This window comes from Homo sapiens, chromosome 8 (genome assembly GCF_000001405.40).
Source record: "Homo sapiens chromosome 8, GRCh38.p14 Primary Assembly".
Classification (NCBI taxonomy): Eukaryota; Metazoa; Chordata; class Mammalia; order Primates; family Hominidae; genus Homo; species Homo sapiens.
The window spans coordinates 128,088,890-128,116,574 of record NC_000008.11 but is presented as its reverse complement, the minus strand read 5'-3'; the positions used below and the strand labels follow the sequence as shown (position 1 = coordinate 128,116,574).

Genomic DNA, 27,685 nt, shown 5'->3' with positions numbered 1-27,685 from the left:
TTCACGCCATTCTCCTGCCTCAGCCTCCCGAGTAGCTGGGACTACAGGAACCCGCCACCACGCCCGGCTAATTTTTTGTATTTTTAGCAGAGACGGGGTTTCACCGTGTTAGCCAGGATGGCCTCGATCTCCTGACCTTGTGATCCTCCCGCCTCGGCCTCCCAAAGTGCAGGGATTACAGGTGTGAGCCACCACGCCCGGCCTAGTACATCCACTTCTTAAAAGCCCTCCTCCTGGATGTGGGCACAGCATTCCTGCTCATGGTCCCTTGGTGAAAACCAGTCACAAGGCCGCAGCTAGATGCAAGGGAAGCTGGGAAATATAGTCACTGACCAAGCAGCCACTTCTGTCTCCACCAGGGCTTCCCAACCTCAGCAATATTGGCATTGCAGGGTGGATAATTCTTTGTTGTCAGGCTGTCCTGTGCACATGGTAGGATGTTTGGTAGCATCCCTGGCCTCCACTTACTAGATACTAGTAGTGTGAGCACAGGCACCTAGTACACACACACACACACACACACACACAGGATACAACTCCTACCAAGCTGTGACAACCAAAAAGTCTGTAGACATGTCTTTTGGGGGGCAAAATTGCTCCTGGTTAAGAAATACTGTTTTACACTAAAGAAGGGGAGAAGAGATACTGTGAGGCAACTGGCAACCTCTTTTGGAGAGAGAAAATTCAAGCTGCTAGCTCAGCTGAATTCCTAGTCCCTACTAGAATATGAACTCCCTGAATGCATGGGTTTTGTATGCTTTGTTTTCTGCAGAATCTCCACCTCCATACCTACAGTAGCACCTGACTCCAAAAAGGTGCTCAATAAATAGTTGTTAAGTAACTGAATGTGTTAGGTAGACTAGACCAACATGTACTAGTCAAACATACCTGCGGTGCTTTCCATAAACCGAACACTGTGCTTACAAAGGATGCCCTCTCTCCTCGCCGCAGGTAATCATTAATAATAACAATAATAATAAAAGCCCAGATCACTGGAAGAAGGAAATCACATGAGATCTGCCAACCCTACCTCTGGAGGTGATGAGCATTGGTACCTAAAGGACAAATACGAAATTCCGGCTCCATCAGCTGCTCCCCACCACTGCTAAAGGGCCTCACGATACCTGAATGCTGGAGATCCCTCTGCCATACCTGACATCAAGCCATTACATTCTCTGAAAGAAGACCTGATTATGCCGTAGGCAACAACCTACAATTTCTCATCTGCTAAGTGAGATTCCGTGGGATTTTAATTCTCCCGTTCACTTTAGAGGCTCCCGTCCCATCTTTGAAGTATTTCCCCTCCTCCTGGCTCTGCCACTTCTGTCAACACTACAAGGCAGGAGATGCTATGACATTATGGTTGCCATGGATGAATCTAATGGTTATATTGATTTCTTGGTTACATCTGCTCCAAAAGAGCCACGGAGAATCAGGCCCCAAGGGTCTGGAAAGATAAAAGAAGAGAAAAAAATAAATGGACTTTTTTTTTCCTTCAGGGAAATAATTACTATAAACAAATTAACGTGTGAGCCCATGTTTAGAAGCGTTTATTACAAGAGACCATGAAATACAAGCACGGCAGTACAGGGCACACACTGTGCAACCCGGGAAGGGTCAAACACCAAAATCGCCTAAAAAGAACCTCGAAGTTAGCTTCAAGGCAGGATGATTAAAAAGCCAGCCAGATTGTACATGTCATGAAAAAAAGATGTTTACTAGCTTTATGAAATTAAAATCCCTAAGCTGCAATTTCCTCAGTTGTAACATGGAACTAATAATATTAATACCTACCTTGCAGAATGATCATGAAAAACAAATGAAACAACAAGTGCGAAAATACCAAGCAAAGTCTCTGCCACACATTACAGTTTCAATTAATATTATTTTTGCTTCACAGGGAAAAGAAAAGTGGATAGTCAGAAAATATGCATGGCTTTAAGCACGACAATTAATAAGAAGGAGTAAAAACTGGGACAACCTCTGAACAACCTCCTATAAATAGAAACAAAACCAAAATGTCGATAAAAACCACGCGCAGTTCCTCCATGACATGAGCAGGCAATAACCAAGAGGGTCCCTTTCAGGAGGCCATATGACATGGAACCCAGACAATGACTTTCCAAACCCCAACATCTGCACCTCTTTCCACAGTCAGACCAGCACCAGCACAGAAGGTTCTACCCTGGCCAGCCTTGGGCAGAGAAACCTTCCCACCTTGCCACTCCCAAGAGACAAACAAATCAGGCAATTAAAAAGGGTGAGAGAGAAAGGGAACAGATTAATTTTTAGAGCCAGTTTGCACATCAAAACCAGACCTCAGCTACCAAAGAAATCAGACAAATTCATGAAATAAGAGTCTGAGGGTCGGTTTTAGCGCAATGTCACCATCCACACCGTTAGGCTAGTCGGGCAAACATTTTGACTCCAAATCCACATATCTAAGACATTGGCCAGTGGGGGACGTCCCCTTATTCCCTCTTTCCTTGGTTACTAGGCACTAATCTAAGCACTGTGATATCAGAAGATGATGAGACAGATACTCTGCAGTATGTCCTCAAATGTGGCAACTGTTGAGAAGTCTTGGATAACGCTAGGGATTGTCCAAGAAACACAGATGAAATGGTGCCTCTTGCATTGTTCAGGGAACCCCCCAACCCCCAGACATTTTAAACTTGGTCAGGCTAGACCACGGAGAACCTTCTGGTTCTGAAGGTGGCAAAATCTAGATACACTATTTATTTATTTATTTATTTTATTTATTTATTTTTGAGACGGAGTCTCTCTCTGTCGCCCAGGCTGGAGTGCAGTGGCGTGATCTCAGCTCACCACAAGCTCTGCCTCCTGGGTTCACCCCATTCTCCTGCTTCAGCCTCCCAAATAGCTGGGACTACAGGCACCCGCCACCAGGCCCGGCTAATTTTTGTATTTTTAGTAGATGCAGGGTTTCACCGTGTTAGCCAGGATGGTCTCGATCTCCTGACCTCGTGATCCGCCCACCTCGGCCTCCCAAAGTGCTGGGATTACAGGCATGAGCCACTGCGCCCGGCCAATACACTGATTAAAAGTAGCCCTCCCACAACTAGGGCCTTTAGATGATATGCATCCAGAGTGATCTGGTTTCCTGCAAGAGAAAGAGTCCTGGGTAAGCACCTACAATGCACTAAGCTTTGGGAACAGATTCAGAGATGAGAAACGTTCATATATTCATTCAGCAAATGTTCATTAAGCTCCCGCTATGTGACAATCAAGATATTAGGAACTGGCTTCAGAGCAGTAAATCCAGTAGGAAATGAGCATCTTTTTTTCTGCTTTCAAGTTGTTCACGGAGATACAGAAAAGTAAACATAAGTCAAAACAGGAGTGGTAAATCCAATGGGAATGGACAGGAAGGGCCAAGACGAGTCTACAGGATGAGCAGGAATGAGTTAAGGAAAAAGTTTGTTAAATAAATGAAAGAATAAGTATGAATTAATTCATTAATAGGTGAGAGACAGGGACCTCTGAGCAGAAGAGATTAAGTGCAAAAGCAAAGGAGCATGCAAGATCATCAAAATTGTCAGCGAGTAAGTGATCTGATGTGGCTGGTGTGGGCTAAAGTAGCAAGATACTAACAAGAGCAATGATAAGAACACAGTGATGGCTGGCACTTCCTGAGTTTTTTCCATGCACTGTTCAAAGGGCTTTAGGTGCATTATTTCATTGAACATACACAACATTACTACCTCCATTTTACAGATGAGAAAACTGAGGCATTCATGAGACTAAGAATTTCCCCTTGGTCACACAGCCCACAAGTGGCTCAGCTGGGATTCAAACTAATGCCAGAGACTTCCTTCTTTACCTGTGGATCTTGAGGAGGGCTTTGCACATCACAGGAAGGCTTCTAGACTCAGTCTTGTCAGAAATTAAGAGGCCAAGAAAAGATGCTACACAGTTTTGGCTCAAGAACATCTCACGTTCTCTAAGGAGAGGCAGGCAAGTGCAAAGTCTACACAGGCCTTGACAAGTGCTAGACCATAGGTTAGACAAAGAAGCATGCCTGTGCCTCTGACCCAGAATGAGGGTAAGTTGAATATTTCTTTGACAGATTGATGAAGGCTTCATAGAGCTGGTATCATCTGAGTCAAGTCTGGAGGGAAGAGAAAGATATCGGGCAGATGTCACAGTATATGCAAAGGAAGGGAAGGTAGAAACTGCACCACGTGTTGGAGGCAGGTAGGTTTGGAGCAATGTGAAGCATAGGGGAGGAGCGGCAAGAAGGATTCATTTTTCACTCAGAGCTTGTCTGTGGCCTGGAGTCCAGGGTTTAGGTCCTGGAGAACCAGTAGCTTGAGGGTTCTTCAAATTCAGAGATAGTGGCCCTGAATCACTTAACATGGTACAGATGAAACTTACGAAAGAATGCCCTGCACACACATGGAGGCCTTTCAAGGTACTTATCAACTGTCACCTGCACCTCTAAGATGAAGTGAAGATGGGTGAAGGCTGCTGGCAAGAGAGTGGGCTGAAGGACCTCGAAAATGTCTCTTTCCTCTTCTCTTTTTTCAGTTTCACACACACACATACAGAAGTTCCTTAACACTAAGAAAGCCCACCAAAAACACCTGGACCAGGAAAAAGGCAAGAGAAGAAAGAGAGAAAGCACCTGAGCACAAATCCCAGCCCTGCCCTGACCAGCTGTGTGCTCATCTTAACCATTTGCTCCTCCTGGGGAAGACTACATTTCCCAGCCTCTTTTGCAGTTAGTTTGAGGCCATGGGGCTGAGTCTTGGCCCATGAAGGCTAAGCAAAAGGCATAAAAGCCTCCTCTTCTAGGCCTAGCCTTTTTTGAACATCCTAAGTGACCCTCTGCCCTCTCTTTTTCCTTCCATGGTGACTTTGGGGACCATATGCTCCAAATGATAGGGGCTATAGCATGAAGGAGGGCTGCCCTACCCCAGTAAGACTGCAACTTAAGCAAGAAATGCATTTGATATGTTAATCCATTGAAACTTTAGGGTTTGTCTGTTGCTGCAAAATATATTGATTCTCCAGTGGTTCTAAAAGCTTGATCCGCAAGCCCACAGCCTCAGCCTCAACTTGGAACTTGTCTGAAATACATATTCTCTGGCCAGGCGCGGTGGCTCACATCTGTAATCCCAACACTTTGGGAGGCCGAGGTGGGTGGATCACCTAAGGTCAGGAGTTCGAGACCAGCCTGGCCAACATGGTGAAACCCCGTCTCTACTAAAAATACAAAAATTAGCCAGGTGTAGCGGTGGGCGCCTGTAATCCCAGCTACTTGAGAGGAGGCAGGAGAATCACTTGAACCTGGAGGGTGGAGTGAGCCGAGATCGTACCACTTCACTCCAGCCTGCTAGACAGAGACTCTGTCTCAAAAAAAGCAAAAGCAAAAGCAAAAAGAAACAGATTCTGAAGTCCCACCCTAAAGCTGCAAAATCAGACAGAAACTCTGTGTTCAGGGCTTAGAGATTGTTTTCAAGCGATTCTGATGCAGCTACAGTTTGAGAACCACTGGCTTCCTCTGAGAGGCTACTGTGTGGCCTTCATCTTTTTGAGCCTTGGTTTCCTCCTCTGTCAAATGGAGGTAAGAACACCTCCCTTTTCAGGGTTCATAGGAGGGTCAAGTGATACTGCATGAAACGATGTGTTTAAGGAGTCTGGCATGGTTGTTGATACACAGTCAATGCATAATAAATGCTATTATTTCTTAATAAATAAAAATGTTAAATGTTAGTTCTTTTTCTTTCAGTTAGGGGCCAGGGACTGCCAGAAAAACAGAAGGTGGGGATGGGGATTGCCAGAAAAATAGAAGGTGGGGTCAGACTCATACCTCTAATCCCAGCACTTTGGGAGGCCAAAGTAGGCGGATTATCTGAGGTCGAGAGTTCAAGACCAGCCTGGCCAGCATGGGGAAACCCCATCTCTATTAAAAAATACAAAAATTAGCTGGGCGTGTTGGTGTGTGCCTGTAATCTCAGCTACTCAGGAGGCCGAGGCTGGAGAATCACTTGAACCCAGGAGGCAGAGGTTGCAGTGAGCCAAGATTGCGCCACTGCACTCCAGACTGGGTGACAGAGCAAGACACATTCTCGAAAAAATTAAAAAAGAAATTTAAAAAGCAAAAGAAGGTGTGATCCCTGCCTCTTGGCACTGTGCTAGACAGCTTGTAAGATGCCCCCACTGATTCCTGCCTCCCGGTATTCAAGCTTTTGTGTAATGTACTCCAGTTGCAGGTGGATTGGACCTAGGGACTCACTTCTAATGAATGTAATATATTAAGCTAAGCTCCTTTTAAATGTCCCAGGGGAGAATTATTTGCCTCTTCCAGCTTCTGGAGGCCTCAGGTGTTCCTTGGCTTGTGGCTACATCACTCCAATCTCTGTTTCCTTTTTAAATGACCTTCTCTTCTGTCTCTTATAAAAATACTTGTCACTAGATTTAGGGTCACCCAAAGAATCCAGGATGATCTCATCTCAGGATCCTTAATTATATATGCAAAAATATTTTTTTCCAAGTGAGATGATATTCACAGGTTCTGAGATGTAGACATTTCTTTTGGGGGTCCACCATCCAACCCACACAGTGCCCAAAGAAGAGTCAGGTCTTGTTCAATCTTATATTCCACTGACCAAGACACCTCATGTGTAGTGCATGACACAAACTTGAAATTTGACAAAGTTTTTTAACAGAATGGCAGAAGTGCGTAGCAGTAAAGCTACTGGGCTTTAGAATTAGCTAAACCCCTATTCAAACTTCAACCACTTATAAATAAGTGACGTTAGGCAAATTACTTCACCTCTCTGGACCTCAGTTTCCTCCTGTAGGCATTTTAATAGTGCGTGTCTCATGGGGGTGTGACGAGGATTGAGGGAGTAAATGCAAAGCCACTACACAGAGTCTTGCATCAAGTGGGGCTGCAAAGTGTGGACGCGGTGCCTGGCACACAGCGAGTGCTCAGAGAGGCTCGCTCTTCCAACTAGCATTTTGAGGGCTGGAGTTGCCATTGTTCTTACTCTCACAAAACCTCCTAGCCTTTCGCTCTGACTGCCGCAGGGACCCTTTCACCTGCTCAGAAAGGAGAAAGAAAGAGGGAAGTCCCTGAGGCACCCAATAGTTCTCCTTTGAGACAGCTGTGGACTAAATATCCCAGCCCCGTCCTCCCATCTCCTGGCTGGTTTCCTCCAGCGGTGCCTCCCAGAGAAGGGCTGGCGGCGAGCTCGCCTAGGCCCCTCATTGTTATTCCTGGCATGAGGTAATACTGTCAGCGTCCTCGGAGGCCCATAAGAATCCCCGCAGTTTGTCTTTCATCAGAGCAACTCAAAGCTGTGTGGCATCCTCCCCAGAAGACCACGCTCCCAACCGGGTTGTGGGAGCCGCCTACTTCCCAGGATGGTCTGGTATGTGCAAGGCAGAGGGCGAGAGTGTGAACCGAAATAACCCAGCCCAGCACTGGCTCGAGGGCCACATGCCTCCAGACTGCCAGGGAGATACAAGGCTTCGTGTGTGGAAAGAAGCTTCCTGGGATTTTCTGGACATCAATGCTCTGAGTCACACTGCAGTAGGCCCACACTCTCACTGCCATACTGAGTAGCTGTGTGATTCTGAACATTTCACTTAAACTTTCTGTGCTTCAGTTTTGGCTTCTAGGAAATAAAGAAGAGGATAGTAACATCTACTTCATCAAGTTGCTGGGAGGATTAAAAGAGACAGTGTGAGTAGAGACTGGAAGAAAATATTTGCAGCACATGTATCTGACCAGGGATTTGTATCAATGATATATAAATAACCCTTGCGACTCGATAATAAAAAGACAAACAACCCATCTTCCCAAATAAAGAAAAGACCTAGACACTTCACAAAGAAGATATATGCAATAAGTGTGTGAAACAGTGCCCAATGCCATTAGTAATTAGGAAAATGTAAATAACAACCATGGCGAGACAGCCCTCCACACCCACTAAGATGGCCAAAAATCAAGAAGACTGTCAATACCAAATGTTGGTGAGGATGTGGAGCAATTGGAGCTCTCCTCTGCTCCTGGCAAGAGTTAAAAAATAATATTGGCTAGGCATTGTGGATCACTCCTGTAATCTCAGCATTTTGGGAGGCCGAGGCAGTCAGGAGTTTGAGACCAGCCTGGCCAACACGGTGAAACCCCGTCTCTACTAAAAATACAAAAATTAGCCAGGCGTGCTGGTGGGTGCCTGTAATCCCAGCTACTCAGGAGGCTGAGGTAGGAGAATCGTTTGAGCCTGGGAGGCATAGGTTGCAGTGACCTGAGATCACACCATTGCACTCCAGCCTTGGTGACAGGGCAAGACTATCTCTCAAAAAAAAAAAAAAAAAAAAAGATACCACCACTTGGAAAAACAGTTTTGGCAGTTGCTTAGAAAGCTACAAATACACTTAGCATATGATCCAACAATTCCTCTTCTAGGTATTTCCCCAAGACATATGTCCATAAAAAGACTTGTCCATGAAATCTCATAGCAGCCTTATTCATCATCAATGCACACTTAAAACATCCCAAATGTCCATCAAACAGATGAAATAATAAACAGTGTGGAGTATCCAGAGAATGGAATACTAAATAGCGATAAAAAGGAAGTGTTTTTGATCTATGCAACAACCTGGATGAATCTCATAAACAGTGTACTGAAGAAAAGAAGCTAGACATGAGGAAAGTAAAGATGATTCTAAGAAGTTCTAGAACAGAGAAAATGCATGGGTAGGACAGAAATTAGAACAGTGGTCACCTTCGTGTGGGGTGAGCAGGACGGAATATAGAAAGAGACACAAGGCAATTCCCAGGGGTGAAAGAAATGTCCTGTGTTCTTGTTTGGGGGTGAAAGGTACACGGATGTATACATTTGCAAAACACACCAAATTCTAACTTAAGATCTTTGCATTTTGTCATCTGTAAACTATATTGCGATAAAAAAGACTTAAAAGGGGTATTGTATGTAGTAGAGAGATTAGCAAGGGGGCCAAGCTCATAGATGGAACTCAGCAAAGGCCAGCTACTATTAACAAATTGTAGAAACAAGTAAAAATGACTCAGTTGTATGTTGGGAATTTGGAGCACCGATCTGAACCGTGAGCCTCCCTAGTCAGGTCCCCTCTTGGAGAATGGGCGAAACTTACCCAACGAACCCGAGGCGAAGACTGTTGTGCCCTGCCTCCCACGCTTCCTATTTTTTTCTCCGGTAAACAGAGAAACAGAAGAAGTGCATTTAGTGATGCAAAAATGAAAGATGCATCTCTAGGAGGAGTGGAGCAAATGCAGAGGGTGGCGCTGGGGGAGTAATGAGAACAGGCTCACTAAGCAACAAGGAGGCATGGATGCGGCAGAGTGTCCACAGCCCGGGCTGCTCCATCTGGGGGTTTCACAGATGCCTGAAGCAGCTTTGGAAATGAGATTGGGCCTAGCCACTGGAGCAGTGGCCCCCCTTTTTTTTCTTCTTCTTTTTTTTTTTTTTCAGAAGGAGTCTCGCTTCGTTGTCCAGGCTGGAATGCGGTGACGCGATCTCGGCTCACTGCAACCTCCGCCCCCGGGTTCAAGCGATTATCCTGCTTCAAGAGATTCTCCCGCCTTAGCCTCCCAAGTACCTGGGACTACAGGCACGCACCACCGTGCCCAGCTAATTTTTGTATTTTTAGTAGAGACGGGATTTCACCATGTTGGCCAGGATGGTCTCCCTCTCTTGACATCGTGATCTGCCCGCCTCGGCCTCCCAAAGTGCTGGGATTACAGGTGTGAACCGCCGCGCCCGGCCAGCAGTGGCCTCTTGAAGACTGCATAGGCTCCAAGGGTAAGAAAAGGATCTGGAGCCCAGCTGCCTCTCCCCCACCATACAATCCCAGGCCACCTTTTCTCATACTGGCCTCCCTTAGGGGGTTTCTCCTGCATCCTTAACTCTTTCCTGGAATGTTCCACCCTCTGCTGTGCTGTGGCCTACACTGAAGCAGGAGACACAGAAGCGTGGTCTATTCTACTTTAACTGAGATCTCTCATTGGACACAGGTCTGCAGTGGCGCCCATGATTGGCTTCGAGTGGCTGCTTGCTCAGATCTCAAGGAGCCTCATCTATTTCACATGAGATAAACCAGATGAGGTGTCCTCCCTGATTCACAGCCCTATGCGGCTGTGATCTTCCCATTACTCTGGCTGTGGCTGCTGAGTCTTCTCCCAGAGGTCCAGGGGGCAGCAGAAGAAAGTTGCTGATACCGGCAAGCAGGGCCTCCCTCCTGGTCCCCTGCCCAGCCCGCGCAGTCCACTTTCCAGGCTTCCACGGCCTGACTCCAGCCTTGCCAGCCATCCAGAGATGCCCACATTTGCATAAAGTAATTGCCCTTTAAAAGCGTCTTTTAAAGAGAACACTCTGCATCTGAGGATTATAACAACAGAAGAAGAAAAAAATAAGATTGCCCTCTCATCCACTACCAAACAGGAATGTCGGTGGCAAAGGGCCCATATTTTGGATGCAAATCTTAAAAAGGACTCAGGAGGCTTTAGGGAAAAAATATATCTATATTTGTAGAAGGTGGCAAAACTATTACCTTTCAGCTAAAGACTTTGTCTCTACCTGTGAATCAAAAGTCAGAACAAACTGCACTCAGTTACTAAACTTGGAACAAGTATTTTGGGGTTTTTTTTTTTTGAAGCGAAAGAGTACTATCATTTCATTCCCGCCCGTGACATGCTATGCACCCAGATCTGGCTACCTTATTAGCAAGGCCTGGTGCAGAATGAAAATGCTTGTTCAAACAGGAAAAAAAAAAGCTTTTTTCTTTATTCTGAGATCTCCGTCCTGGTGTGTTTTGTTTTGTTTTTATCTGCTATTTAATGTCATACTCTTTTGGGCACAGGAATACTTGTAGGGTGAATACAGCCCCTTGAAGACCTCCACAGCCCTGCCCCATGGCACAATTATGGGATTGACTCTGACCCTCTTCAGTCTTGGGCACATTTGGGGAAAGGGGGAGGTGGCAGAAGCAGAACTTCACTTACAAAACACAAACTCAAACATAAAGTGATTAAGATTTTCAAGAATTTCAAGGTGGCTATTGCAAACCTTTAAGCTCCAAGTGGGGAGCCCCCTTATATCCAGCAGTCAGTGTAACTGAAGGTGAGGAGCCTCCCCCTGGAATGTCTTATCCGTCTGGGCTCAAGGCCTGCCCCTCTGCCCTTGGCCAAGTTACTGATCTTTCCTGTTTATAAAATGGGGCTAATAACAGTACCTCCTTTGTCAGGCTGATTGGATAATTAGCTGACCTAAGAATAATGGCTAACTCTTCTACAGCACTTGTTGGCATGAGTGGCATTAGGGGCTAGCCTAATGCCCCACACTGATGTGTTTTAGAAATATCAACTCACTTAACTCTCATAACAGGCGTGGGGGGTTGCTGTTACTGTTTCTGCCTGACAAGAGAGCATGTGGAGGTGTGGAGCATCAGGCAACTAGTCCAGGCCCAAACCGCTTGGGTGTGGAGGAGCAGCATGGCCAAGATTTGCACCCATCCACTCAGCTCCAGAGCGTGCACTTCTGCCAGGTGCCTGAAAGGTAAACAGTGGTTATTGTTTCATTTCATCTAGCTCTCATAATGAGGCTATGAGGTGGGGTTGTTACATTCGAGATCATTAAAGAGAAGGATACGGAAGCTCAAAGAGGTGAAGGAACTTGCCCAAGGTCCCCCAGCAGGACTAACTCCAGGAGAGGAGAGGATGTCGACTGAGGGGAGGAAAGGGATGGAGAAGCTGGAGCCTCTGACAGAAGGGACCTGCATGGATGCCTTGGGAGTTTTTATGTAAGCCACAGTTCCAGATAGGATAGAAAGGCAGGAGTTTGAGGGGTATGGAAGAATGGGGCGTTATAGCCCTGGGATACTAAAATCTGATTATCAGGGCAGGATGGCAGCGTGGAAAGCATATCTATGTCTTAATTTTATAGTTGGGGAAACTGAAGCTGGATGTGGGAAGTGGCTAGCCTAATGTCCCTTAATCAGAAAACACAGCCCCAAGAGCAGATGACCCCAGGCCAGCATGCTTGCCAGGTCTGTGGCATGTGCTGAGCACATACCAAGGGTCCCAAGTCCATAAATCCAACAGGCCAACTCCTCCTAAGAGGCTGCTGGATAACCACCAGACAGTCCCAGGCACAGCCCAAATCCTTACAATAAAGCCCATTGCCATTTTGAGCTAGAGTGGGTTTTTAGTTGTAACATTTAGGAAAGGAAAACCACCAACTTTGTAGTCAGGCAGATGTAGAATTGAAAATGGCGTTACCATTTATTAACTGTGTGACCTTAGGCAAATTACTTGACCTCTCTGAGCTTCAATTTCCTCATCAGTAAAATGGATCAAAAGCAAGATCACATCATAGTGAACATAAGTTTCTGGAACAGATTAAATGAAAAAGAAGTTACAGAGTGTCAAAATGCGTAGTGTAAAAGCTAGCACTTAGTAGGTGCTCAATAAAAACCATTCTGAATCCATCAGCAGCCAAACCTACATAGCATGTAAGAGAAGGGTCTCACAGGAGATGTCAGTTCTAGAGGCACTTACCATACCTCTCTGTCTAAAACCCAAAGAGAGGAAGTTCAGCAGAATTTGGGGAGGTCTGAAATAGGGCCCACCATTCATCATCACCCAGGAAATAAGATCTGGAGGTTCTAGTGATGGGAAGCAGGAAAGGGAAGTTGAAAAGGAGGCTTAAGTGTGAGAGAAGTTACATTTTTTGGAGTTTCCTTTCTATTTAAGGTCTTGCTAACCACTCGGTAAAACTCATTTCTGGTTCATGTTCTTAGCAGGAAAACACATTTCATGCTAAACAGTAAGAACAGGCCCCAGCTTGGAAAGTCCTCAGAGGTTCTCATGTTTCTTGTGTCATCTGCAACTGTAGGGTACCATGGGCTGAGTGACTCAATCTGAATAATTGTACTTTGAGGATTTCTAGGGGAAGCACCCAGGGCAATCTTCTGACTGGGATCTTATGCTCACTCCAGATTGCAATGCATTCATTCAACAAAAATTGATTGCTCACGCAATGTGTGCTGAAGACGCTCTCAGAGACTGAGGACCCATAGTGAGCAACCTGGACACAAAGGGGCTTACACTGTGTCGGGGGAGGCTACCAAGAGAATCTCCCGTGGGAATAGGCTGCAGAGCTAAAGGTGTAGAACTTGGGAACCTAGTAATGACTGGGAGTTAAAGAACGACTCTTCAAGGAGATGGCACTAGAGGTATGAAACGAAGGAGGAGAAAGAAATGTATTCATCTCCTGGGGCTGCCATAACAGAATATTATAAATTGGGGAGCTTAAAATAACAGAAAAGTATTTTTCCACAGCTCTGAAGACTAGCAGTCTGAAATCAAGGTGTCAGCAGGACTGTGCTCCCTCTGAAAGCTGTAGGGAAGAGCCTTTCCTTGCCTCTTCCTAGTTTCTGGTGGTTGCCAGCAATCCTTGGTGCTCCTTGGCTTGTAGATGCATCATTCCCACCTTTACCTCCATCTTCTCAAGGCCTCCCCACTGTGTGTCTCTGTCCTCAGGACACCAGCCAGTGGATTAGGGGCCACCGTCATCCAGAGTGACCTTATTTGAACTTGATCGCATCTGCGAAGACCCTATTTCTATTATACATAAGGTCACATTCACAGGTTCTGGAAGTCCGAACTTCAGCATATCTTTTGGGAGACACAATTCAGCACACTGCAGGAAGCAACACAGGCAGGGTGAGCGTCTAACAAAGCCCTGAGCTCGGCAGCAGATGGAGGCTTCAGGAAGGAAGGAAGCCAGTGTGTCTGGAGCCCAGTGAGGAAAGGGGAAAGTGGGTGGCAGTCAGATCATACGGACCCAGGAGATGGTAAAGAGCAACAGGGGAATTCACCAGTTTTTAACTCTGAGATAGACACACTTTTTCCAGCTCATGCTGTTTGCCTCAAAGAGGTCAGCATCCCAGCACAGAGTTGTGGCCACCCAGCCTCTTCATAGTCTGATGCACCACACCTGTGACTGGCCTGCCACTCCGGAGCACCAGAGGTGAGGCAAAAATAGCTTATGGTGTTGACAGCTCTCTGCTCTGGGAAACCAGAGGCTAAAGGTGTCCCCTTTTACTGTACAGTTGCTGCCTGAGTGCATCCTGATGGGCAGCAGGGGAAACCAGAAAGGGCCCTTCTCTGAAAAAAAAAAAAAAAAAAAAAAAAAAGGAAAACTTGGACATATATATGTATATCAAAAGGTTTGTGCTTGAAGTAAAGATTTGTTTTCTGTGCAGACTGTCTTTGGTATAAGGAAGTCCAATTATTTGTTTTACAAATACTTATGGAGTGCCTACCATGTCACAGATACTTTTCTTGGAAAGAGATAAGACAAAAATCACTGCCTTCTTGAAGTTTATATTCCAGGGGAGTAAGAGAAACTAATAAATCAACTCAAACAATTAATTGTAGAACCCATTAGGAGACACCAAGAACAATGGAGGAAAATAAAACCAGCAAAGAGCATAGTGAGCTTCGTGGGATGTGGGGAAGTTTCAGTGTTAAATCTGGTGGCCAGGGAAGGCCTCATGGAAATGATGATACCCGAGCAAAGACTGAGAAGGGATGAGGAAGTGGACAAATAGGCTAGAGAGGACACAGCAGGTGCAGAGAACCTGAGGCAGAAGTATGCCTGGAGGGTCTGAGTTATGACAAAGGGGCCAGGATGCCAGGGCGAAATGAGATGGAAAGGACGAGGACGTGATCAGAGACATCACAGGGCTGCATCCCACGGGCCTCGCAGGCCACAGTGAGGCCTGTGGCTTTTACTCAGAATTAGGTGGAACCCTTTGAGGGTTTTGAAGCAAATGGGCTTATGAGCTCTGGCTGCCCTTTCAAAGGATCACCCTGGCTGCTGTTTTGAAGACAGACTGAGAGGCAAAGGCACAAGCTGGGAGCCCAGCCCAGGGGCTGTTACAAAAATTCCAGGCAGGAATGAGGGTGGCTTCGACCAAGAAGTGAGAGGAGGTCATAGTCTGGATACATTTGACAGATGGACTGGATAGATAGCATAACTGCCCAAGAGATTCTTCCTGCCCACTGCATCCATGCACCATGGTCAGCAGTGTCCCGCCGGTAGAGATGGTGCCAGAGTCAGCCCCCATCTCTCTGCCAGGAGAACTAGGCAGCCGTTTGAGCTGGCCTCCAGGCCTGTTGCCAGTGGGGGGCTACCGAATCATACACAGGTAGCCACCAGCACAATCCCACATGAGACCCCAAATTTGTTACTGCCCAAGGGGTTATTCCTGCCCACTGCATAAAGAAAGACCACGGCATTGTAGTAGAAAAAGAATTTAATAGACACGAGGCCGGCCACGCCACGTGGGCGATGAAGTTCGTACTCATCTTATTCAAAGCTCATAGGTTAGGGATTTTTCAAAGGCAGTTTGGGGGAAGGGGTGGGGGTGGACAGGTAACAGGTGCTTGCTGCTGAGTGGTTGGGGCAGAGATGAAATCGTAATGGGTTGAAGCTGTCCTCCTGTTGGGCTGAATTGCTTCTGGGTGGAGCCATAAGGTCCAGGTGGAGTCATGGGTGTCAGACATGCAAAAAACCTGGAAAGATATTTCAAAAGGCCAATCTGTAATAGTAGTGTTATTCACAGGAGCAATTGGGAAAGTTGCATATCTTATAACCTTCGGAATAATGTCTGCAGCTTAGTAGGATTCAGGCTCTTCTCCTCCCCGCACCCTGATGGCCCCCTAACAGCTTTACAAAAGTGGCTGAGTTTTGGGCAAGGCCTATTATCATTTAAACTGTAGCCTAAATGTCTTCCAAAGTTAGCTTGACCCAATAGCCCAGGAATAATTAAGAGAAAGGCAAGATGGAGGTTGGGTTGGCTTAGCTTACTGTTATAATTTTCTCATTGACACACCTTTTGCAAAGGTGGTTTCAACAGGATGGATGAGAGAGGGGATGACCAACTGAAGTTCCTCATCTAAACCATAGCCTTCCCCATCTCAAGGCCTTTGTCAGAACATCTTTCCCATCCTCCCTGCAGCAGGTTCCTTTAGGTCTGGGCTTGACTGTCACCTCCCCAGAGAGGGCTTTGCTGGACCGCAGCTCAAGTGTGCTCCCCCTGTAATTCTCATTCCCGTCCATGTGGATGTTGTACTTAAACACAAGTTAGTGGCCTGCTTAGGTTTTGGTCTATTGCCTTGATTTGAGTCTGTGCCCCACACTGGATGCATCGATCTCCAGGAGAGCAGAGACCTGGTTTCTCTTGTGCAGTGCTACATCCAAGAACCAAGCTCAGGGCCACTCAGAGGAGGTGCCCACATGATATTTAAATGAGTGCATATTTACATAAAGATATAAAATATCTAACAAGGCATTTGTTTCGGGAAGGAGGGAAGGAAGGGAGGGAGGAAAGAAGGAAGGAAGGAAGGAAGGAAGGGAGGGAGGGATGGAGGGAGGAAGGTTGGGAGGGAGGGAGGGAAGGAGAATTTATGGAATTTGCAGACTCAGCATTTAAACCCAGGTTTGCTTACCCAAATCTCACTCACTTTCTACTTCCCTCCTCCACCCCATACAGCCATCAATCAATGAACAAACCCACCCTGCGGCTGGCTGGGGAACCTGAGGGCTTAAGACACTTATAACGTAACTGAAGATGCTAAACTAAGATGCACATAACACAACAGTGACCATGATAAAAAAAAAAATTCATTAGCAAAGTTTGTTGTAGAAGACTATTGAATTATAAGGCAAGATGTTTATGATACAGTTTTAAAAGAACGTTCTAGAAAACAGCATGTAAAATATAATCTCCTTCCTAAAAATATATATATGTACATAGAAACTGTACTGGAAGATTTTACATCAAAATGTGAGCTGGGTATATTTGACTGGGGTGATTACTGGTATTAATTTGGCTATTTTGTTTATTTAAATTTTCTATCATGATTTGGTATCACTCTCGGAGCAATATAAAAGTAATTAAAATTATATTTCTGCATACATATAAGTCTATAATAAGCTGCAAGGTCAGTAGTGATTCCCATAGAAGGGGCAGGCCAGTGGTCAGGCAAGGCTTCCAGAAGGAGGGAAGGCGTGGACCGAGGTGGAGCACGCAGGCGAGAGGACATTTCCTGCTGCCGTTTTCCCACAGTGATGCTGGGTGGTGGCCCCAGGCTCCTCTGGGGTGTTCTGCCTCTTCAGGCCTCTGAGGGAGAAATGCAACTTGTCGGCTGGGCCCCTGAGAGGACCCTCCCGCCTGGCTTTGACCTAGAGGTCTCTTGGCCTCCACTGCCTTCATTCCAAAGCACTCCTGAAAGCATCCTTCCTCGGAAGACCCAGGAGAAGCTCACAATTCCATATCGGCTAGGGATGTGTGATCACGTGACCCGCATGTCGCCATATGCAATGACGTGGAGAACAGGAGTCAGAGTGAGAAGGCCTGGGTGGGAGGCCCACTCTCCACTGCTTAGCTAGGCGACCCCTGGTGAGTCACTTCATCTCGGAGTATTAATTGTCTGTAAAATGGGGTAATGAACCTGTAGTAATGAACATGTAGTAAGGGCAAAGGAAGATAACTTTCGTGAAATTAATGGGAAAAGTCCAGAAAAGCTGCTTTCTAGACAGTAACTCACTCACAAATGTTAGCAAGCAATGATCCCATGGAAATTCAGTGCAGGACTCACTCTTGCTGGTAACAGAGAAGGAGGGCACAAAAGTCCCTGTCCACAGGGGCCAGGATCCCTGGGGGTCCCGAGGCCTGGGCAGAAGGCACTAGGGTGCACTAACAGGAATTTAGGTGCTGCCAGCTTGCTCAGCATGGAGGAAACCTCTGCAGAGGAGGGGTGGACTGATGAAGAGGAGCAGCAGAAGACAATTTCACACCGAGTGCTTACAAAGTGCCAGGAACCATATTATCTCTAATATAAGACACGCTGCCAGGTAGTTATCATCTTCATCATTTTAAAAACAAGTAAAGTGAGGCACAGAATGTTATGTAACCTGTGCAAGGTCACACAACCAGAACATGGCCTCTCTACCTCCACTCTACATGTACTAATCTCCATCCCCAGGGCCGAGAGGCCGCAACCGGATGGTGAGGTTTAGTCTTAGCCCTGATGGTGGGGTGGGGAGGGGACAAGGGTGACTTGAAAAGCTCTCCGTTCCCCTTGGCAGCTGTCTTTCCATTCGCACCCCCTCCTGCACCCCTCTGCCAGGCCTGTTGATCACAGAGGCACCATCCCATCTGCTCCGCCTAGAAGTTCAGAATCTCCCGAGATTTCTGAAGCCTCCAGCACTGTTCTTTGTGACACTCTAAACACAGCAGCTTCTCCTCCTGGGGATGAGAGAGGGTCAGCCAGAGCCCTGGGCCTCTGTTCCCAACCCCTGAGCCCAGCCCTGTTCCCAAGGCTGCACACTACAATTCCAGCCCCAAGGACATGGTGGGGCGGGGGGAAGGCAGAGAGTAGAGGGGACACAGGAACTGCCCCTAGGAAGGGAGGCCCCGAGGTCCAGAGAGGGGAAGAACTTCAGGCCTGGCTCATGGAGATGTGTCCAGCCTCAGAGGGAGCAGGATCAAGCAGAGTTCCAGGTGCCGGGTAGGGCAGAAAAGGAGGGTGGTCCCAGAGCCTCGTCTAAGTCCCTGCAGGAAATCTCTGAGTAGGAGCTGGCTGGGGGCAGGCTGGGGTGCAAAATGCCTGTCCACTGGCTGTGGGGCAGGAGAGGGCAGAAATTAAGAGGGGAGTTCTTGTCTGAAGCTCATCCCTACGCTGAAGGCCCAGAGTGCAGCTAGGAAGTATGGACTCTGAAGCTGGACTGCCTGGGTTTGAACCCTGGCTCTGTTACTTAATAGATTCTCAGGTAAACGAGTTAAACCTCTCCATGCCTTAGTTTCTCCATGTTTACAAGGAATGATAATCACACCTGCCTCAGTGTTGATAAGAGAAAGGAAATGAGTCTGTGTGGTTGAAATTTTCACAGGGAGCCTGGGGTGTGGTCAGTACTGCCTAATCCTGCGACTGGCACACTTTTTCTGTAAAGGGCCAGAGGGTCAATATTTTAGGCTTTGCTAGCCAGATGGTCTCTGCTGAATATTCTTTTTGTATTCTTCAACCCTTTAGTGACATAAAAATTATTCTTAACTCAGAGTTCTTACAAGCACAGAACACTCACCAGATTTAGCCCAAAGGCTTAGTTTTTGTTTGTTTGTTTGTTTTGAGAAGTAGTCTCACTCTGTCGCCCAGGCTGGAGGTTCAGTGGCGCTATCTCAGCTCCCTGCAACCTCCACCTCCTAGGTTCAAGTGATTCTCCTGCCTCAGCCTTCCAAGCAGGTGGGATTACAGATGTGCGCTACCATGCCTGGATAATTTTTGTATTTTTAGTAGAGATGGGGTTTCGCCATGTTGGCCAGGCTGGTCTCGAACTTCTGACCTCAAGTGATCCACCCGCCTTGGCCTCCCAAAGTTCTGGGATTACAGGTGTGAGCCACTGTACCCAGCAAAGGCTACAGTTTAAGGACCCCTGATCTAGACTAAAGGTAACCCTAGAGTTGTAGGTGTGGTTAGGGGCAGGCATTTGGCTGGTTTCAGTTGGAAGCAGTTTCTAGGCCAGCCTGGGGAGGCAGAGGAAACATGGCAAGACTGGGGGCCTGGGTGGGGTGGAGCACAGCCTGCTGTGAGCTCTCATGCTGAGCCCTGGGCCCATCTGCTGCCATCATTCCCATCGCAGTTTAAGAAGCACCTGAGGCTGGAGCCTCTGAGGACAATGACAATGGACTGTGTGCCATTCAGAAGGGATGACCCACCATACATCCTCTAATAAACATTTACAAGTTGTTTACTATATGCTAAGCACTGGCCTAAGCCATGAACAAGGCAAAGGGGCCTGGGCTCGACCCCTGGAGGTCTCAGCTGGCAGGTCGCACCTTTGACAGCCCCAAGCTGGGTCTTCATCCTGAGTCTCAAGATGCAGTAGCCTCAGTGAACTCCTCAGCCTCCAAGCGTTCCTGGGGTGATCCTCTTGGTGGGGCTTGTGAATCTGGGAGCCCGTTATTCTGTCCTTCTGGAGAGAAAGAGAAAAAAAAAAAGATCCGCTGACTATAAAATGGTAGCAGGACAGTGGCCCACTCGCATTGCTCAGCTGGTACAGGGGACAGGGCCCCCTTCAAATGAGGACGTCAGAGCATTTGACACATGTTCACTCATTCCAGAAAGCTCTCCTTCACCATTCTAGATACCAAGGCCTCGAGAGGCTCCTAACTGTGGGCCCTGCCCATCAAAGAGAGTGACAACATATAGTGAACATTGCCATTTTACAGATTGAAAAACTGAGTTTGAATAAAGCTAACTAAGGTGTCTAAGATCATGCCATTCACCATGATGGAAAAGTAAATCAGAATCTTATGTATCCTGTGCCCCACAAACACAGTGGACTCCTTCCTGAACCCCATCAGCATTCTATTCTATAATATTACAAAGCACAGTTGTACCTGGTTGGTTATCTTTTTTTATTTTGACTCATGTCCTCTGTGCTCTGAGCCTACTTGTTGCAGGACCCATGGTTAATCCCTAATGAATATACCAGCAATTGACAGGTGGGTTGAGTTTCTTTTTACAAAGAAATGAAAGTAACACCATCTTACATATGAGATCTGGAGGGCACAGAGAAGCCAGCTCTGACCATGCCGAAAGAGCATGGCAGAATTGGAGTGGAAAAGAAAAGTCTCCATAAGTATCTTAGAAAGGGCATCGAGAATGCGTACCTCAAGCTGGTTCCTTGTTTTCAACTTGCGGCTGACCGCAACGCTAACAAACAAGGGAAAATGAAATCCGTGATCATCCTCAGACAGGGTTACCCTGACATTCAGAGCAGAAACCACAAAGTTTTGCTGTAAAGAGCCAGACAATATATATTTTAGGCTCGGCAGGGCACAGGTCTGTCTCACGATTCCACTCCCCCACTATAGCAGGAAAGCAGTCACAGACAATATGTAAAGAAATGGGCATAGCTGTGTTCCAATAAAACTTTATTTACAAAAACAGGCTGTGGGCCATAGTGTGCCAATTCCTGGTTGAGTACAGACAATGGCAATGTGACCACTTAATGAGATTCTATCGTGTGCCAGGAACTCTACATCTTTTAATCACCTTTCTAAGGCAGGTATTTGCCGAGTGCTCACCCGCAGCCAGGCACTGTTCTAGAAGCTGGGCTTCAGTGCAGAAAAAGACAAAACCCTGCTCCCTCAAGCTTACGTGGTGGAGAACCCTGCCAACACCCCACCCTCACCCCAAGAAAAAGCATCACCCCCACTTTTCAGAAAAAGCAAAAGGTACGAATCCTAGAACTTGTGAGGGGCACAGCTGGGATTCCAGCCCAGATTCCAAATCTCGGTTCTTTTCAGGATGCCATACCATCTCTCAAAGCAGAATCAGGACCCTCAATTTCAGCCCAGAGGCTGCATCTTATCTTAAGCCAAGCCAAACTGCAGCTGCAATCTCCTATGCAACAGCAGCCCAAGTTTTAAAACGCCCAAAGCAAGAAAAGATGCAGTGGACGCTGTCCAGCCTCTGATAAACCTAATAGAAGTTGCTCTCCGGGGCTGGTCATGCAGGGCTGGCCCCATCCACATCTGGAACCACGAGACGCAAAAGACGCAATGGATTTAAACTCTGCCTGTCCACCAACAGTCCCATAGACTGAGAGGTCTGGGGAGGCTCTGGAGCAGGAAGGTGGAGATGACAAACACAGCTCTGCTGTTTTGAGGCCTGGTATGGGCATGGTACTGGTTCAGATTCTCCCTGTCATCCTTTTTCTATGGTTTTCATGGCTTGGACCCTGAAATAAAAGAGCCCTCTGTGAAAGGGAATGAAGACAGGGAGGAATAGAGAGTAGAAGGAAAAACTTTTCTTGAGTGCCCACTTGATATCAAGCACTTTAACATTTTACCCACACACGATGGGTAGGTATTCATCATTGCTCCTGTTTCACAGACCAAGGATCAGCACAAAATTTTTTTGTAATGGGCCAAGTAGTAAATATTTTGGTTTTCTGGGCCATCCCATCTCTGTTGAAACTACTCAACTGTGCCATCATTGAGTGAAAGCTCTGCACACACCAACTATAGCTTATGTAGACAATACATAAATGAACAAGCATAGTTGTGTGCCAATAAAACTTTATTTACAAGTGCTAATGATAGAATTTCCTATAATTTTCATGCTATAAAATTACATTTCTTGTGATTTTTTTATTTAAACATCTAAAAATGTAAATGTTTATATTTGCATTTAATTTACATTTACATTTAAAAATGTAACATTTTCTATGTAAAAATCATTTAAAAAGTAGCAAAAATCCTTAATGTGCAAGCTGTACAAAAACAGGCTGTGGACTGGATTTAACTTGCGGATCATAGTTTGCTGACCCCTGTTTTAGAAGAATTCACAGCTGTCATTTAGGTGACCTGGCAACCTGATGCAGAGCCTGGGTTTGCAGGTCCATATGCCATGCTGCTGACATGGCATTAAGAGGGGTGGTGAGGACTGTAGCAAAAACCTATCCATTTTGACAGCCTCAAGTAGAACAGTAAAGGCCTTTATCCATTCAATCATTCAATCACTTATTCATTGGTTCCTTGCAGAGCTGGCACGGCACGGTGGCTCACGCCTGTAATCCCAGCACTTTAGGAAGCTGAGGCGGGCAGATCACGAGGTCAGGAGTTTGAGACCACCCTGGCCAATATGGTGAAACCCTGTCTCTACTAAAAATACAAAAATTAACTGGGCGTGGTGGCGCGCACCTGTAATCCCAGCCACTCAGGAGGCTGAGGCAGAGGAATCGCTTGAACCTGGGAGGCGGAGGTTGCAGTGAGCCGAGACTGTGCTGTAGCGCTCCAGCCTGGGTGACAGAGCTAGACTCTGTCTCAAAAAAAGAAAAAAATGTGCAGAGCCCTGAGGGAGGTGATAGTCGTGCCAAAGGCCTCTTTCAAGCCTTATAGCAACTCTTTTTATTTTTTATTTTTTAAGACAAAGTCTTGCTCTTGTCCCCCAGGCTGGAGGGCAATGGCGCGATCTCAGTTCACTGCAACCTCCGCCTCCCATGTTCAAGAGATTCTCCTGCCTCAGCCTCCTGAGTAGCTGGGATTACAGGCAGCTGCCACCAAGCCTGGCTAATTTTTTATTTTTAGTATTGACGGGGTTTCACCATGTTTGCCAGGCTGGTCTCGAACTCCTGACCTCAGGTGATCCGCCCACCTCGGCCTCCCAAAGTGCTGGCATTATAGGCATGAGCCACTGCTCCTGGCCAAGCCTTACAGCAACTCTTAAGAGGGTTGGTTATTTACAATGCTTATCCCCATTTTACTGATGAGAAAACAGAAGTGGGGAGAGAAGCCCAAGCTCTTTCCGTGATCCAAGCTGCTTAGGCATTGTGAGGGTAGAATCTTTTCCTTAAGGAACATGGCAGCAAATAACCAAAATAGAAATAAAAAAATATGAAAAGATCAAAAAAGAAAGACAGATCTTAAAGTTGCATATATATATTATTCCAGATGCGGCAGTCAGAAAAGCTTGGTGGAAGAGGCATCTGGGCAGGATGGGAGAGGGCAGCATTTCAGCCACAGGAGGTGGGGGCACCGTGCGCAGCAAGAAGCAGAAAGAACAGAAAGAATAAAGCCCCAGAGAGCGGGATGGAAGACTGAATAGATGGCAGGAGATCTCCTGGCGGTGCAAAAGTATTTAGGTTGGTGCAAAAATAATTGCAGTTTTTGCCATTAAAGGTAATGGCACCATGCTGAGAGTAAGATTTTGACAAAGAGGAGGGGATTGGGAATGCAGGGTGAGGCTGGCCAGTCTCTGCCTCTCTCAAGGCTTTCACCAGCTCTCCCACACTTGGCTGTAGACCCAGCCCTCATCTGAACCCTGCTTCTTACCTGTGAACGTCATAATTCAACCTGGGCTCAATTATCTTGCCCACTGAGGAGTTCCTAGCTGGAGTGGGTGAGTGGCAGGACAGGCAGCCCCTACCGGTTCCGGAACGCTTCAGGGCATGACGTATGTGTCCCCAGCAAGCCTGAGAAGGGAGTGAACAGCTGTCCAGGGGCCAATGGCCAGGGTGCCGGGGCTGCCATTAAAGGTAATGGCAAAAACTGCAATTACTTTTGCACCAACCTAATAGTATGGACACTGGGAGGTGGGCTGGATCAGTCAGAGGAAGGCCTGAGGCCCCTGCCCAGGGGAGGGGAAGGGAAGAGCTTCAGGGAGCTGGGGACACCTGAGCCATCTGTCTGACGTGACAATTAAGCAAAGGTTGGTGTGTTGGTAGTACAGGACTAGGGAGTTTCAGAAGGTGCTGGAAGGGGAGATGGAAAAGGAGATAGAGAAAAATAAATGGGAAACAGCAGGGGGGCTGGCTGACAGCAGGAAATTCTGAGCCTAAGGGTTCTTTGCAGCTTCCCAGCCCCTGCACTGGGAGGGTCAGCTGGGCCCGCCAGGTGGGATGGAGAGGTAGGTGTCACCACCAGGCCCAAAGCTTGCACACGGCCCAGGGGAGAAGGGGAGAGCTCAGTCCGGTTGTTGACCTGTTAGGCTTCAGCTTTCTCAAACTCCTCTCATATTCCCACCCTCACAATCTTATGAGGACAGCTCTCAGCAACCCCACAGGACAATGGGGACACTGAGACCCATATGCCACAAAGCCTGGAATGGAGACATACCCTGAGTTTTCCTATGACTGCTAATGATGCCAGCTGACACCTGTGGGGTGCTTATGATGTGCCAGGCACTGGGCTAAGCTTTTACCATCCTCACAACTTTACAAAAATTTATTACATCTTATAAATGTATGTATATATACATGAAATACTGTATATTATCCTGATAAGTAACTTTAAAGGTAGAGCACTTGTTCTGTCCCACACTGAGTATGCAGCCAGGATTGAACCCAGCTGTTTTCTTTGTCACCTTACCGCTCTTTCATGTATCCCTCTAGAGTCTAAGCAGCACTTCTGGAGAACAGAGAGTTATCACGAATGAAGAAGAAAGGAAAAGCAGCTGTCTTGGGGACACTGGAGCCCCATTATCTCCCCAGATGAGAATGTAAAGGACATGTTGGGGGAGGAGCGGGTGAGCCAGGGTGCTGTGTGATGTGGGCGCTGGAGGATGATTCTGAATAAAGGTCAGGCTTCTCCAGCGTGAGAAAGCCAGCTGGAGAGGAGTGATTCCCTCACCCATAGCAGTGCAGGCTTAGCCGACAGCTGGGACGAGTACCGGACTTGGCCTGGAGTGCAGGTTGTATAATCATCTCAGCCCTGCCACTGCAGAGCACCAGGGCAACCTTGGGACAGGAGAAACAAACTCATGAACGCCTGCCAGGCCGGGACAGTCCGAGGAGTAAACAGAGGAGTGATCGCCCCCAGGGACCTAACACTCCTCCCTGTCCTGCTGGGCTAAAAATAATCACAGTAACTAACATTCACGGAGCACTCACATGCTAGGCACGTGTGCTCAGAGCTTTAGATACATTCTCCCTTTAATCCCCCAGGAAAGTCTGTGGGAAAGGTGAAAAAATTATTCCCATTTTACAGAGGAGGATCAGGAACTGACCTGGGATCATCAAGCTATTTAAATAGAGGAGCTAGACTCGAAACCTGGCAACCTGACTCCACAAGCTGCACCCACGACCTCCATGCCGCAGGAAGGTCGCTGGGCATGTGGCAATAGAAAAAAAAATATTTAGGAGCCTAGATTATGTGGAATCAGATCTTAGCTCCACTGCTGCTCACTGGATGATCTTGGATTAACTATGCTCAGCAACTGTTGTCTCAGTGGTATAGTGGGGACCCCAGGTCCTAGGGTGGTAATGAGCATGGGGGGTGACATTAATGAGCAAAGTGTCTGCCAGTAGTTCCTTCATAACTAGTGTCTGATCTCATGGGACCCACAGCCCCTGCCACCTCCCAGAATATGACCTGGGTCCTCCCTGAACCTCTGACTTCTCCTCAGCCCCCCATCCTCCTGGGCTGCACTCTCTGTTTGGTGAACTCCCAAAGAGGATTCCAAAGCCTAACAAGTGACAAAAGGCTCCCTAAGAAACACGTTCTCTGAGGACTTAGCCCCCCATCAAAGTCAGCCTTTAACTTTTCTCTTCCCTCCATTGCCAATTCATTATACTCCATCCATGGAACAATAAGGGAAATGTAAAAGGTGGGCAATTCAACTGCATCAATATGTCTGCTTTCTGGAAGTTTGGGCACGCAGTCTTTTGAGAAAAGAAACAGAAACCATAAGCTCACCAAAGGCAGGTAAAGACAGTCTTGCGTGGAGTTACCCAAACCTATTTGAAAGTAAAAACTCCAGTCAGGCCCTCCTTGGAGGTAACGAATTCCATAAATATAGAAAACTGCTGGCCCTGGGAAAGACTTTTTTCTTTCTCTGCAAAGTATCTCCCCACTAGTCCATAAACATTCAGGTCCCCATCCCATAGATTGAGTGAGGTGGAGGGGAAGGCCTATGCATAGAACTGAATTCAACACAATTGGTTTTCTTTGCAATCCTTTGAAATAAAATCTGAGGATTTTGTTATATGCATTTTAAAAGCATTATTCTGAAAAGATGTCCATAGCTTCTCTAGTTTGCCAAAAGGGTTTATGGTACAAAAAACGTTCCAAGCATTCCTGATCCTAGTGGGTGAGGCCCTAGCGAACTCACATGTTCCTTACTCTTCATGAAATCATTCTCTAACGGTTTCTAATAGGCTTATAGATAGGATCCTGTTGTTTTCCCCTTTCAGCTTCCCTGTGGAAATCCTCCTGGTTTGTCTGCAAATATGTGTAACAGAGAAAGAGAGAGGGAGAAACAAAGAAAGAATGATTTTCTTCTAATCTCAACATACTTTTCCAATTATGACCCCCCCCACACCCTGCTATGCGTAATTGTGTGTTTAATTATCTGTATGCCCTCATGGCCTGCAAATTCCAGAAGGGCAGGGGCAATGTTGAATCCTTGCATCCCAGTTATAGACTGAACATTTGTGTCCTCCCAAAATTCATATGCTGAAATTCTAACCTCCAGGGTAATGGTATTGGGAGGTGGGGCCTTTTGGGGGTGATGGTCATGACAGTGGAGCCCTCCTCATGATTGGGATTACTACCATTATTGGGGGGTGATGGTCATGACGGTGGACCCCACATGACTGAGATTAGTACCATTATATAAGCGACCTCAGAGAGCTCTCCTGCCCCTTCCTTCACATTAGGACACTGCAAAAAAGCAATCATTTATGAACGAGGAACTGGGCCTTCACCAGACACAGAATCTGTCAGCACCTTGATCTTGGACTTCCAAACCTCTAGAACTATGAGAAGTAAACTTAGTCTTACAGTATTCTGTTGTAGCAGCCAAAATGGACTAAGACAGTAGGTCTCTGATCAGATCAGTTTTGGCTGTGCTTGAGATGAGAAGGGGTCTTACCACACATAACTTCTCTCATTTCCATGGGTAAATTTCCCTCCCTCCAGCAAATCTCAAGATATTTTCCCCTGGCCTCAGTGATCTGTTTAGAGTTCTTGGCCTTTTCTTCTTATTTGGGCCACATGGAGGACAAGTTGGCACAGCACCTGCCTCCTGGGGTCAGGGCCTGGCAGTGCCTTCTCACCCACATGGACTTTTCCCCTCTCTCCTCCTCTGAGCTCA

General features: G+C 46.9%; 1 long non-coding RNA gene across 51 annotated transcripts in view, besides 3 other annotated features; it reads right to left on the bottom strand.

The window, feature by feature from the left end:
• Window positions 6,734-7,662: an enhancer, noted in NCBI's record as "H3K27ac-H3K4me1 hESC enhancer chr8:129121159-129122087 (GRCh37/hg19 assembly coordinates)". NCBI's record gives its function as "activates a minimal SCP1, AML or CMV promoter by ChIP-STARR-seq in naive H9 embryonic stem cells {active_cell/tissue: H9 hESC(naive)}" and the evidence as "EXISTENCE:reporter gene assay evidence [ECO:0000049][PMID:30033119]".
• Window positions 9,603-10,103: an enhancer, noted in NCBI's record as "H3K4me1 hESC enhancer chr8:129118718-129119218 (GRCh37/hg19 assembly coordinates)". NCBI's record gives its function as "activates a minimal SCP1, AML or CMV promoter by ChIP-STARR-seq in naive H9 embryonic stem cells {active_cell/tissue: H9 hESC(naive)}" and the evidence as "EXISTENCE:reporter gene assay evidence [ECO:0000049][PMID:30033119]".
• The window catches only part of PVT1 (Pvt1 oncogene), a 306,733-nt gene continuing 294,366 nt past the window's right edge, over window positions 15,319-27,685 (bottom strand). For 32 of the 51 annotated variants that reach the window (NR_186144.1, NR_186156.1, NR_186146.1 and 29 more), the window contains 2 exons: window positions 19,921-20,057; window positions 15,319-15,595 (listed from right to left, as the gene is read on the bottom strand). This is a non-coding gene — a long non-coding RNA (Pvt1 oncogene). Of the gene's footprint in view, window positions 15,596-17,001; window positions 17,206-19,920; window positions 20,058-20,757; window positions 20,884-23,925; window positions 24,066-25,221; window positions 25,329-26,286; window positions 26,328-27,685 lie in introns of all 51 variants that reach the window. The other 19 variants (NR_186151.1, NR_186131.1, NR_186136.1 and 16 more) reach the window with 6 other exon arrangements.
• Window positions 20,509-20,758: an enhancer, noted in NCBI's record as "active region_27959". NCBI's record gives its function as "activates an Ori minimal core promoter by ATAC-STARR-seq in GM12878 lymphoblastoid cells {active_cell/tissue: GM12878}" and the evidence as "EXISTENCE:reporter gene assay evidence [ECO:0000049][PMID:35858748]".